The sequence below is a fragment of the Homo sapiens genome, chromosome 2 (genome assembly GCF_000001405.40).
Source record: "Homo sapiens chromosome 2, GRCh38.p14 Primary Assembly".
NCBI classification, from domain to species: Eukaryota; Metazoa; Chordata; class Mammalia; order Primates; family Hominidae; genus Homo; species Homo sapiens.
The window spans coordinates 174,071,865-174,085,202 of NC_000002.12; the positions used below are offsets into that span (position 1 = coordinate 174,071,865).

Consider the following 13,338-nt stretch of genomic DNA (forward strand, 5'->3'; position numbering starts at 1 on the left):
TAAGCAGCTTTAGCCTTTTCCATGTATACATAAGTTAATTTAACCCTCACAAAAACCCCATGAGGGTGGTCCTATTATCCCCATTTTACAGGCGAGGAAACAGATTCTGAGTGGTTAAGTAGCTTGTATAACTAAGGTCATACAACTAGGAAGTGGTACAGTCAGGTACAGAGCCTGGCCTCCTGACTCCTGAGGATGGGCCTTAACCAGCATCTGTTACTGATATATCAGGAACATCTACTGTAAGTGAAGAACTTGTCATTCTAATTTATAAATTAGGCTCTTAGATGTTTGGAAAGTGTTATAACACGGCATTGCTGAGCTGAAGAAAATCAGTTCCTAGACCTGCAGGGCCAAAGAGCAGATTAGATGTGTGGTTTGAGAACTCTGTGAAGCGCTTGCTGCCTGGGTGGTCACGTGAGTCCCTTTTTTGTATTTCCTAATTGCAACACAAGGCTTTTCACTGAAGCACTAATTTACAAGTGGTTTGGGAAATTCATAGACCATGAAGGTGATTCAAGAACGGTCAGTTTTTATAAGGGGCCCAAAACCAGTTAGGAAGACAAAAAAGTCACTCAAAAGTCAAACCCAGCTCTTTTATTTTATCACCACAGTGTATTTTACAAGCTTAAAATAAGTTGAAATGAATTTTCCCAGCTAAAGTAGTTTGCCATTAGGAACAACCGACATTTCTCAAGTCTCTTGTAAAATAAAAAGAGCATCAAGTGAATTTAAGTAGACTAATCAGAACAATAGAAGAGGCAGGAGGAGGAGATACCGTCTCTGACTCTCTGAATGAAAGGAGACGGGGTTTACAAAGGAGCTTTGGAAATATTATACACAGACAACTAGAGACAAACATCAAACTGGAATTTTAATATAGGAATATTGATGAATCATGAGTAAGGGGACTTATTCCACCAATGAAACTGGCAAGTTATAAGTGAACAGAGGCTTCACTCATAACTAAGTTAGCGACAAAAACTATTTGTGCTTCCTTGGGAGATCCGGCTCTGCTCTGAGCCATATGCAAAATGCATGTTATGAAGATAACATGATAAAACACAACTAAATGCTATTACAATCTTTCTTCAAGCTTTGGGCACAAGCCTTCTCAAGTTTCTCTTTCTCTTTGGAGACAGGGTCTCACTCTGTTGCCCAGGCTGGAGTGCAGTGGCATGATCATGGCTCACAGTAGCCTCCACCTCCCAGGCTCAAGCGATCGATCAATCCTCCCATCTCAGCCTCCTAAGTAGCTGGGACTACAGGTGTGTGCCATGATGCCCAGCTAATTTTTGTATATATGTATTTTTTTATGTAGAGATGATGTTTCATGATGTTGCACAGGCTGGTCTCAAACTCCTGTGCTCAAGTGATCCTCCCACCTCGGCCTCCCAAAGTGTTGGGATTATAGGTGTGAGCCTCCACGCCTGGCCTCAAATCTCTTTTAACCATAAATTTGATTAAGATGGAGCTACAGATACATGCAAAAATATTTACATAACATCCTAAAATATATTAACTTTATCAATATTAAAGGAGGGAAAACGTTTAGATATAGGCATATATATGATTATATGTAACAGTTCTTGGAATTCTCGACTTTCAGAGAAAATGAAATTTTGTATATGTACATACAATGTTGTAGAACTTCTAACCAAATTAAACATTTTTAACATTTATTTTCAGCCCCTAATGAATGCAGTTACCTCAAAACTAACTCCTTTCTTTTATTAATGGTTCTGTTGCACAATGTGCAATTTACCACATTAGAAGCTAGACAAAGTAAAATTGCATGATCCTAATGTCTTTTTACTGATTTCAAACTTCTTTAAGAAGTCCATGCAATTTACTTTGGAGAAGACCCAAAAGCAAGATATTTGATTCTTTCTTATACTGCTGAAATCCCTAACAATCCACTAATCTACACATTACTCCAATACAGAAATAGATATAACAAGGATTTTTCACAGCAAACTTGGTCAGCTATACCTGTAGCCTAGTTTTATTTGTTTTATTTAGTTCTTTTAAAAAACCCTTCATTAGTTTTATTCTTATTTCTCTGCTGTAGTTTACTCATTTTTATGTTAGCAAAAGAAGATCACTATTTGATACTAAAAAAATACTCACTGGAGAGCTTCTAAATTATACTCACGACTCAACCTCATCCTCTTTAAATATCTTAAGTATAGCCAAATCTTTAAAAAATCACCCCTTTTCTTGCCTCTAGTGCTACATTTGGTAACTTTCCATTTTAAGTTTGTGTGTGTTCTAATACTTCTGCATCTTTAAAGTCCCAAAGCGATACAGTAGAGGCAAAGGCTGGCTGGGTATGAATCTGCATTCCATGGAAATGGTCCTGTGATCACAGAAGAGCACAAAAGGGCAGAGGACAAGGACAAGGAAGGGAGGTCTCACAGGAATGGAAACATGGGAGAGAAAGGGAGGCTCAGGGCCGAGAGAGCTTTCAGGCCATCATCACAAGAGAAGGCTAAGTGGCAAAGGGTCTCCAAATTACCAATTTGTTCTAGTCTTTCTTTTGGAATTTTCTGCTACAATGTTAAGAAGTGCTTAACTTACCCATACTACCACTTCGACTGCTCTCAAATATCTGAAAAGTAAGAATGAAAGAATTTTTAAAATTTTCAAAGTCTGATCTTAGTATTTCAAAATCAGTGTAGGAACTTTTATACACATTGCTGAATTGAAGCAAAACATAACCCACCAGACATCAATGGGTCAGTTTTTACAATTTAATAATTTCAAAGGAAAGATTAAAAGTGAACCTCTTTTCAATATGGTCAGAACAACAATAACAAACAAAATTCTTTAATTTTTGAGACAGAATTTTCTTCTTTGTGGTCAGTCACCTATCTCATATCCCTCATAATATCATTGCTATCATCTTTCAATAAATGTTGATCTATAAATTAATTAACTTTTTTGAGACAAATCCCTGGTATACTATTCTTCTGATTCCCATGAAAGACTCACTTTTAAGATACAATTGCAGCTGCCCCACACTGCCAGTTACTGTGTCATACACACGCCTTAAAATTCTGTAATCAGCAACCACCAGGTGCCGTATCGCATTCAGCACACCACAGTCAGTCAATACAGACATCCCCAAACACACCAAGGCTGGTTTTGTCAAATGTTTTATTGAGTGTAGACATCTGGAGTACTGTAAAACATGCATTATCTGTAGATTCAAAAAGGAGCAAGCCACATTGTCCTCACTGTCAAATGTGTCAGGCTTGGCATACATGATGGAGATTAATGAAGTATCATGAGAGTAATATGGTTCCTGAAAAGCTTCTACAATTTGGAGTAGGGTCTTAATCACGTGAAAAGCAAAGCTGTTCACATTTAGTGAACCTGCATTTCATGGGGGGGGGGGGGTACACAGTATTTTAATTTTAAAACAAATAAAAATAATTTGTTTGTCAAAGATTCCCATCTCCCCAACTTTATTTGTCGCATTGGTTTTCAGAAATTTTAATTTTTTAAAAATCAGATGCCTTTTGGAAGTTGTATGTTTATCTGAGCAATAACTAAATTTTATTTCTTCTTCGGTTGTTGAGGTGTGTTAAATTTGAAGAAGATAATATCTCCATCTTCAACAATATAATTTCTGCCTTGTTGTCTGTACTTTCCAGCAGCCTGCAAACAGAAAATATAGAGGAAATGGGTTATTAGTTTACAACTAAATACATGGGGTAAATGGTGGCAGCAGATATAAAAAGTATTATACTACTTGGGTGATATAAAAAAAGAAAAAATGAAATATAGGAAGGCATACAAGTTCAAAACTAGACTTGGAGAGAAGCAAAGTATTCTTGATTTGGGCAGAACTAGATTTTCCATATATACATAATCATAATGTATTCTCCACTAAATTGTTGGTACATAAATGTAATTATACCAATATCATTAAGTTTCATTACACGCTGTTTATGGTACATTTCTGATGTGTCTGCAAACATCCAGCAAGTCACTGTAACAAAACAGATCAAACCAGGCAGAAAGAAAAAGACTATATAACTAGTTAAAAGCTGCTTTATTTGCTTAAAGAAATCCTTTGGTGACACTGGTGATGCCAAAAATATAGTTGGTATAAGGAAAATTATGATCAGTTGTTGTGTAAGATTCTGAACTACTTCCTTGTAGTTTTTAAAATTTAGTCTTGACAATGTGTATACATAGAAGTATGTACTAGAATTCATCATACGGTTTCCTGACTAATGGCCCTAGTTACAAGGAGACTCTAACAGGTTGCAGTTGCAAAGACAGATATTTCTTCCACTTGTAAATTAGTCAGCAAAGCAACTGATTCCACCTGCTGGTATGCAGATCCAGACATGCAATCTGCTGGTAATTTTAATAGAAGCAAGCAGCAGTTCCAGAAAACCAGGTTTAGTCCATGGCATGAACTTTACTTTACCATAAGTAAAACAGGCTCTGCAGCACCCACACTTAACACTGCACACAGCTGACATGGTCCCACATGACCCCACCATCGACTCCTCAACAATAAGGACTTGAGGATCTTTTGGGGGAAATTCTCAAAAGTTTTTCCCTTCTGTTAGAATGTATTGAGAAGAAACCTTTGCCCAACAGGATTAGTGCTTCTCTTTGAAGATATTGATAAGAATGTTCAAAGCCAAGTGAAATTATACTAATCTGTAACAAAAACACTAATAAAGATCATACATCTGAGGGTAAAATCAACAAACCAGATTGCAGAGCCCTAGTAAGCATATTTTCAATTATCTAGACCACATATAAAACTGTCCTGATTTTAACAGAATATAAATATATGAAGAATATATAAAGCTTATTTCTAGAAAGCCAACGTAACGTACCCTACAATTAAAGGCATATGTGTGTGTGTGTATACATATATATTTATATTTATATATATTTCATATATATGACACATATGTGTGTGTGTATATATATAAAAATACATATTTTCACATGTTTTTATAAAGACATGCAATGTATTGAAGGCCATAAGCTACTTATTTCTAGAATCTATAGCCCACTGTTATAAAACTATATAGACAATATAAATCAAGTACATATTGACATGACATATTAATGTAACTTTATATACTTTGTTACCACTCAAGTTTACTATTAATTAAAAGTGACAGTGTTCCTTTAAATTCTCTAGAGACCATTTAATCCATTTCCACTGCTATCAGAAACACTGGTTGAAAAAAAAAATCAATACCCATTTGTGAATCTTGAGTATGTATTAAACAAGACACGTCTAACCAGTTCATTTGCACTTGAAAGCAGCCATCTGTAGAAGCCAGCTTTGCCTAAGCAGATATGATTGCTAATAATGTGATATCCCTGTAGACTACAAAGCCCACACAGAGCTATTCAGTATATAGTTCACAGCACTGGCATTAAATTAGTTATGCTGCACTGGTGTTAGAAATACATATACATACATACATACATACATACATACATACATACATACATACACACACATATACACAATTTTGCTCTCAAATCTAAAACCTACTTGATAATCTGCAAGTAAACATTTGTTGAATAAAGGAGCAGAGAGCAATTCCTAAATGCTTCATTTTACTTGGACTTCAAATTTTGAAATATTAGTTTTGGAGGTTAAAACAACGTAAAATATTTAATGGTATCCTAGGTGAAAATGTCAGAGTCAACCTTTTCTAATTTATAGTATAAAAGCTGCCAGTTAGTGGTAAATAGTCTTACAAGCAGGAAATATTATTTTATTGGATATTATAAAGTTTCTCTCAATTGTTAAAGGAAATATTTACAATTCATCTATCAAGTTTATTACAACATAGATCTACTAAGGATTGGTAAACAGGCTTACCATTTTAAGAGTATAAAAAAAGAAGCATCTGATCTCTGAATTCTAGTAATAGAAAACATCCTCATTTTTATCTTCCTTATGAAAAATAGATATGCCAACATGATGTAGCATGTTGACAAATAATCTGAGATTTTTGTTCGTCTAATTAGTATTCCTGACAAAGTTCAATCTCAGTATTTTTGCACACCTACCTATATCTATACAGATGCCACCATCAAAAAATTAACAACTGTGTTTACTTGTAAACTGTTATTCCTTCCACTCTTTCAAAAAAACAAAATGGTTCTCATTCAACATTGAACCAATTATACCAAGATTTTCCCCCTCCTCTTCCTGGTGTTCCAACAGTTCTATTAAAGTCCTGCTGTTCGGTATGACCTTTCCAATGATACCAGTGAAAATAAAGTAAACCTGAAATAAACTTTTTTGTATTCCTTTCAACTTATGAAATAGTAAACACAAGAATCTTCTTTAAATTCTATAACATTTACTATAGTAGTCTTCAAATATTAAATTAAATTAAAGAACCTTCCTACAATGTCAGTTTAACCAGCTAATCTGTCTATATTAGAGATTGCTAGATTTCTCTAAGTAACATCTAATAAATCAAACAAAATTAATTTTGCAACAGAATTTACATTTAACAAGTCATCTACTACTCATGTATAAAACTGCTTCACTATTAGTGTCTGCAAACCAAATTATCCTTATTAGCTAAAATAAAGCACAATTTTGGACCTGCCCTCTAGTGTTGAGAAAGCAAATCAAATCCCCAAGTATCTTTAAACAACAAACAAGTAAAACCATGAAGTTTTAGAAAGAACAGCTTTTATTTAACTAACTTTCTATCTCTATTCTTGAAGTAATTATAAGCATATATATTATACTTCAGCTATTCAAATGTAATAAGTACAATTTTTCATTGGCCATGAGTGAACAAATTCTTCGAAATTATTTACAATTACTTAAACCTAATTTATTTTATTTTCAATTATAGAAAAAAACCTCCACAAAACTACTGACAATTCACACATTTTTAAAATGATCTAAAAGTATGTAAACATCTATAGCTCTTAAGTCAGTTGATAGTAACACTAAACGCTGATCATCTTATTACTTTATTTTAGACTACACTCAGTTTAAAAGATAATTATCATTCATTTTTATCATGACTAACTTCGCATCAGTGGAAACATTGTGAAATACAAAAATAAAAACAATTCTTTACCTTGACTGCATTTTCAGAACCTTCCTCTTTAAAATCTTCGTATTTCATTACTTCAGCCATAATGAATCCCTTTTCAAAATCTGTGTGAATCTTTCCTGCAGCCTGAGGAGCCTTAGTCCCTTTCTTTGAAAAGAAAGACCAGAGAAAACTAATTGCATTTAAGATGACTGATTGTAAGCACAGAGTTTCTTTTCTCTGATCTGCAGTTGGGCTCAACTAGAACTTAGTTTAATATCTGTTAAGATGTCAGGTATATAATTAGTACATTTTCAACACTGGGTAGTATCTGTGCAGCAGATTTAGCATAGATCAGTAGATATTAAAGAAGCGTGGCTTTGTTTTTCCTAACAGTCATCCACTGTTTTATTGATTTAGAAGCAGTGGTCTGGTTTTGGTGTAGGTTTCATTTCGATTTTCTATTCTTCACAGTGGAAAAAAATAGATTTTTAAGTAACTTTCAAGCTGAATTATCAAAGGTTTTAAAAAGATAAAAAGCTCTCAAAATTTCAGCTCATCTAAAGAACATATAAAAATCAATATACAAAGGGACATTTTAAAGGCATTTCCAACAAATCATATTGGAAATCTACATTCAGCAAATAATTGTGAAACTCTCAAAAAATTTCGATAATAAAATTTTTGAACATTTTGCATAATATTCCCTGCCTCTAACCATCATGAAGGAAATTCAAGTTGATATAGGGAGAGAAATGTCTTATAATTAACCCATATGTTATATTACAAGGATATATATTCCACACACACATAACCATGGAAAGAAATTTGAGAAATAACGGTGACCTAAAGGCTGCTTAATAAAGCATGTTAAAGTGATAAGGAGTCTGACACTAGAAAGCACAGTTTTTACAATAAAAGATGTATTGGGTTAATATAGCTACTCACTGATGCTTACCTGACTAAATATCTTAGCACATTAAATCATGGATACTTACAATCAGTCTTAAGATAAACCAGCTTTCACATTTTCAAGCCCAGAACATGCTATCTTTCCTACCTCCACATACTTAAGTTAGAAAGTTTTAAGGCTTTAAAATACATCTTTAAAATATATAGTAAAAATAAATCCTGGCAATTTGTTTACCAACTTGGATTTGCTTTGACATTATTTTTAAAATCTATATAAAAGGACCTTGGTTAGAAGTCAATCAAACATTTTTTTACAAAGGGGAGAGGAGATAAAAGAAAAGTAAATCTCACATTCACACAAGGCATTTAACATTATGTTAACTGCCTCCATGTTTCTATCCATATTAAATCAAAATACATGTAACAATAAATTACAGTAGTCACTGAAAACAGGAATCAAAGCACCACTAAAATTTATCGTGTAGCATATATTTAAAAAGCATAATAAAAGACTGAATAAGACACTATTTCTAAAAGTTCTGGTATTATTTTTATATTCTGTAACATACTATTTAGGATCACATATATTTCAAAATATTTTTCAATAGTAACTACTATGTTACAATATATTTAAATTTAAAAGCAAACCATTACAGTTCAGTTTCTATTGTCCTCTGGGAATAAATTAGTCATTCTCTCTGTTGTATTCAGTATACATCAATTTTTAAAATACATATCACATTTTTAAAGAAGTAAGACTGAACATATAACACTGAAAATAAACATTACTTCTATGAATTCAAATTTAAAAAGGCATGAATTATTACACGTTGAGTTTAGCTTTTTGAGCCCAACTGTGTATCTATGAAGAGCATAATGATGTCATATTGCTTTTATTGCTGAAAATGTAATCCGAGCAAAGCAAAGGAGGAAAGAACCACCCGCAACCCAAACAAACTTAGCGAATACAAAATGAAAAGCAACATCAATTTCACTGCAGACAAACCCAGTCACACAGATTAAGCAAGCACAATACTGGTGCGTCTTATCTCTGACCACAGGAGGAGGGTAGACAGATTCTACAGGATGAAGAAATTCAGACTATGTAATAGGCAGAATCAATTGTTACCTGCCTCAATCAATGCCGCTCCACTTTCACTGTTCAGCAGCTCACAAATAATTAAAGTTATCCTGGACAAAAACCTCATCTGTAATGACTAGCTAACCGCCACCATGACAAACTTCAAAGTCAGTGATATCAATCTGAATTCAATAGTGTGGAACTGGATATAGCTGATGAATAAGTATGAATCTTACCCTGATGGTCCATGCACGCACTTCATCTGGGCCTGCAGTGAAAAAGTATTCTAGTTGGAGTGCTGCAAACCCAGCCTTAATGATCTTTGGCAAAGCACTGAAATCAAATGAAACAAATTCACCCAACACATAAGTTGATTGTGCCAGAAATTGGTATAGAGCTAAAATTATTCATTTCAAGCAGAAAATGTTAAAGATAGTAGTAAATGACCATTCATCTTTCAGAATACACTGGAAGGGTTCAGAAAGCAAGTAACTGTTTTTAAAAACCTCTCTTCTAAAATTGGTTTTAATTGTATTAGCCTGAAGATATTATTTTGAATTGTTTGCTATTTAAAAAAAGAAAAATTATGACTATTTTCATCCAAAATTAATTATTTCCAGGACCTGGCCATAAAAGCAAAATTATTTGATTGAAATCTGATATTTAAACAATATATTACTGTTACTCAGAAAAAATTATGGCAACTGATTCACCCTTTCCCCTCCCCCACTGAACATGACGAAAGAGTTTTGGCGATCATTCCTTCTCAAAAATATACATAACTAATACCTATGTTATAATTAAAACACTGTACGGAGATGACAGATGACAGTTAAAAACTTAATTTAAAATAAATCTTTTCACTCTGTCTCATGGTAAAGAAAGGAGAAGATTCCCTCTTTATAATGGTAATTACTCTGTCATTTATTATTCTATCAGCGCAAGCAATTAAATTACTGCAAGGAAATAGTTGATAATAAAGTGTAGGGAAAATGAATGCTAATTAACCTTTGTGTCATGTTCGCTTCCAGATACTTCTGTCTCTCCTCAGCACTCAATTCTTGCAACTTGAGTTCCAAGGCCCCACTAAAAGGAATGACCAAAGCACCTGGGTCATACTTGTCCACCCACTCTTTAATTTTTATCAACCTGTAGACAAAAAAGGGCACAACATTATCTTGTAGTGCATGCATGACTGTACCACATTCATTATTATCAAGTAGCACATACATATTCATAAGAATTGCACGGTTTTATGATGCCATCTTTTTGTATATAGCTTTCCAAGGTCAAGGCATTAACAGGCAGCAACTGCTTCAGGTATACGCCATAGTATTTTACTGTAACCTAGTTTTACTTTAGCACATTATCTATGGAAACTATTATACAAATATTTAAAAACTTTTTTTAGTTACACTAAAATTGTTCAGCATTAACACCTGTACCCTTGAATAAAGCTTCCATTTTATAATTTTTTGTTTTCCTTACTTTACAAAGTAAATTTTTAAAAGAAGACATAAAGTTCTGTTTGTACAGGAATCATACCTAAAAATACCAGCTAATTCTGAAGAGCCCTTCACAAATAAATAATTTGTTCCAGCCAGATATCTATATGCCTGGTTTAGTTCCTTCATGGACTAACAGAACTCACAGTGGTCACTAGTTTTGAGGAAGCTTTTTCCTAGCCAGAACAAGCACGTGCAGAAATACAGATTTACAAATATGGTTGATCACGTACGCAGCTGTATGAACCTGACTTTTGTGAGAACAAGAATAATAGAACTGCAGAGGAAAGAAATTCCTTTAATCACAAAGGATTTGGAAAGCCAAATCAGTTAGGAAACTGATCCTAGTTGTTACCTGAAAAGACATTATTGAGTCATTTTTTTTCCTTCCAAAGCATGGAGTATTTGGCAAAGTAGTAATTAGAACATAAATGAAATAAGTGTAGTGAATATATTAATTAGGTTCAGAGCCTAACACTTTCCTAGCTTTTTATTACTGGGCAGGTTACTGAACGTTTCTAAGCCTCAGTTTCCTCACTTGTAAAAATAGAGATAATAATAGTACATATTATATTGTAAGGAACCTAGAAAAGCCTGCAAATAGTAAAGAATTAACAGCAGTTACTATTATTAATTTTCCTTCTCAGATAATCATAGCATACATTCCTATGAATCTGGAACTGAGTTTAGTGTGAGACTATACATTCCATTAAAATTTTTATAAAATTATGCTATAGGCTTACATAATTCCACTAGACTGCTATATTTAGACAAAGGTTTTAATAGTTATTATGGCAAAATGCTGTGGCAGAAGTCCTTTAAATAATTAATGTAAATGCCACTTTAGGGGAAAAGAAAAACAAGAACTAAGTCACAAATCCATCAATGGCAGGGGAGCAGAGTTATTAGAAAATTAAGACTATGGCCCATTGAGCAGGATTTAGGATGGGAGAAAGGAATGAAAAACAATCACACAAGAGTTTGTATATGTTTGTTATACAAAGGTAACTACTTATTTAGTATGTTATTTGTGGTTTTCAATCTTCATAATAGTATTTTTTCTTTTGTTCATATCCCAAAAAATGGACCAAGTCCTATGATTTATGTTGCCTTTAACATAAAATTCAAACTAGATGTTTTCTTAACCAAAATTAAGAAGGACAGGTTAAAAAAAAGGTGGGGGGACTGAAATTGGTGCTTCTGTCTCCGTTAACATTATGGTATTCTAAGTTACTTCACAGACTTACACTATTCAAACAAAAGTCTATATTCAAATGTTATCATCAATGGTTTAGTAACTTACTTTCATTATACAAGTTAAAATCAAATATGTAATTTTAAAAAAGCAGATCACATACCAAATAGATTCAATGAAAGTGAAATAAAACAAGCCCATGTAAAAGGAGAATATAAAAATATCATACACACTTTATTTCATAAATATGGTCAACAGAACTAATAAAACTAGAACTGTTATGAAACAACAAGATAAGAAATAATTACTTTAGCTAACACATCAATTCAGAATAACAATAGTCCTACCCTGTCATTTTAACAGCCTTTCCTGCAGAGTTCTCAGAGGGATTATTTGCATTCCTCAGGTGTTCTATTGTACAATTCAAATGAATAAAGACTTACAAATCATTCCTCTACCGCCAATGTGAGACTTTGATCTGGTGAATACACTATTGTACCTTAACTATAATTGGCAAAAAACCTGACAGTGTAGAGCATCACAAGCTTAATAACAAAGGAGAATATCTCAAAGTGTTGACAGATGATCTTCATAATGCAGAAGCAGAGCTGGTACATTTTAGCAGTAAATGAGCACTGAGGTCTAAAGGTCTCTAAAGTGACTGACATCAGACCTGCTATAGCCTCACTAAAAGAAAAAGGTACCGTAGCACTCTCCCGTAAAGTGAGTTAGGCTCTTTGCCTGCCAGCTTCACTTTTGTGACTTTCACTGTCATAGAAAACACAGGGAAGATGAAAAGTGAGTGAGGTTCTTTGGCTGTCTGCTTTACTTTTGTGACTTTTACTATCAAACAAAAGTGGGAAATGTCCCAAAATGATTTTTAATTACATCTATGAAATAAACCTAGGGTAATTAAAAATATTATTTGATTTCAAGATTATAGACTGAAATATATGTGGTGTATCTATTAGGTCTGATGGTTACAAAAGTGTGATAATGAGGCCAAGATCACAAATCTGAACCCCATGGGGACCAGTTACCTTTTGCAGAAAAATGTCTATTCTCTTTCTACAAACCATACCCCAAACTATAGCTAGTCATCTCAAAAATGTGTGCTATTGGCACGAGGGATATAGAAAATTAAAGTTGAGCTCAGTACCACTACTAGAAAAACAATTCCAAGCCATTCTGCCGAAGTGCCTGAATAATAATCTCTATGTACAAATGTTAGCAAATGTCTAAAGAAAGTCATCCAGTTGCTAGTGATCAAAATAATAATGATATTGTCAAAGAATATCAAATTATATGGTGGGTGGGAGGAGAAGGAACAGTAAAGACAGTAGACCCCTAAAGAGTTAAACTGTAAAGCCTTTCATAGACTTCATTTTGCAAATCTGTCTGAGCAGATTACTGCAAAGGGATCCATCCTTCCTCATAAGCAGCCAAAGACACACTTGATTTCCTCAGTCTTAGGAGTAACAAATGGAAAGTGGAAATGCCATTAGTTGTATTTTTCTTCCCGGTAGTGATTCCACAGCAAGGGGACAAAGAAAGGACAACTAGTTTTAAGACAAAAAGGATGATACT

General features: G+C 33.7%; 1 protein-coding gene across 3 annotated transcripts in view, besides 1 other annotated feature; it reads right to left on the reverse strand.

The window, feature by feature from the left end:
- OLA1 (Obg like ATPase 1) overlaps window positions 583-13,338 on the reverse strand; it is a 176,086-nt gene continuing 163,330 nt past the window's right edge. For 2 of the 3 annotated variants that reach the window (NM_001011708.3, NM_013341.5), the window contains 4 exons: window positions 10,060-10,200; window positions 9,288-9,384; window positions 7,104-7,226; window positions 583-3,663 (listed from right to left, as the gene is read on the reverse strand). In NM_001011708.3, coding sequence (NP_001011708.1) covers window positions 3,562-3,663; window positions 7,104-7,226; window positions 9,288-9,384; window positions 10,060-10,200 — 463 coding nt within the window. In that variant the 3' untranslated portion in view covers window positions 583-3,561. The remainder of the gene's footprint in view (window positions 3,664-7,103; window positions 7,227-9,287; window positions 9,385-10,059; window positions 10,201-13,338) is intronic. The other variant, NM_001328688.2, reaches the window with a different exon arrangement.
- Window positions 11,911-12,513: an enhancer, noted in NCBI's record as "NANOG hESC enhancer chr2:174948503-174949105 (GRCh37/hg19 assembly coordinates)". NCBI's record gives its function as "activates a minimal SCP1, AML or CMV promoter by ChIP-STARR-seq in primed H9 embryonic stem cells {active_cell/tissue: H9 hESC(primed)}" and the evidence as "EXISTENCE:reporter gene assay evidence [ECO:0000049][PMID:30033119]".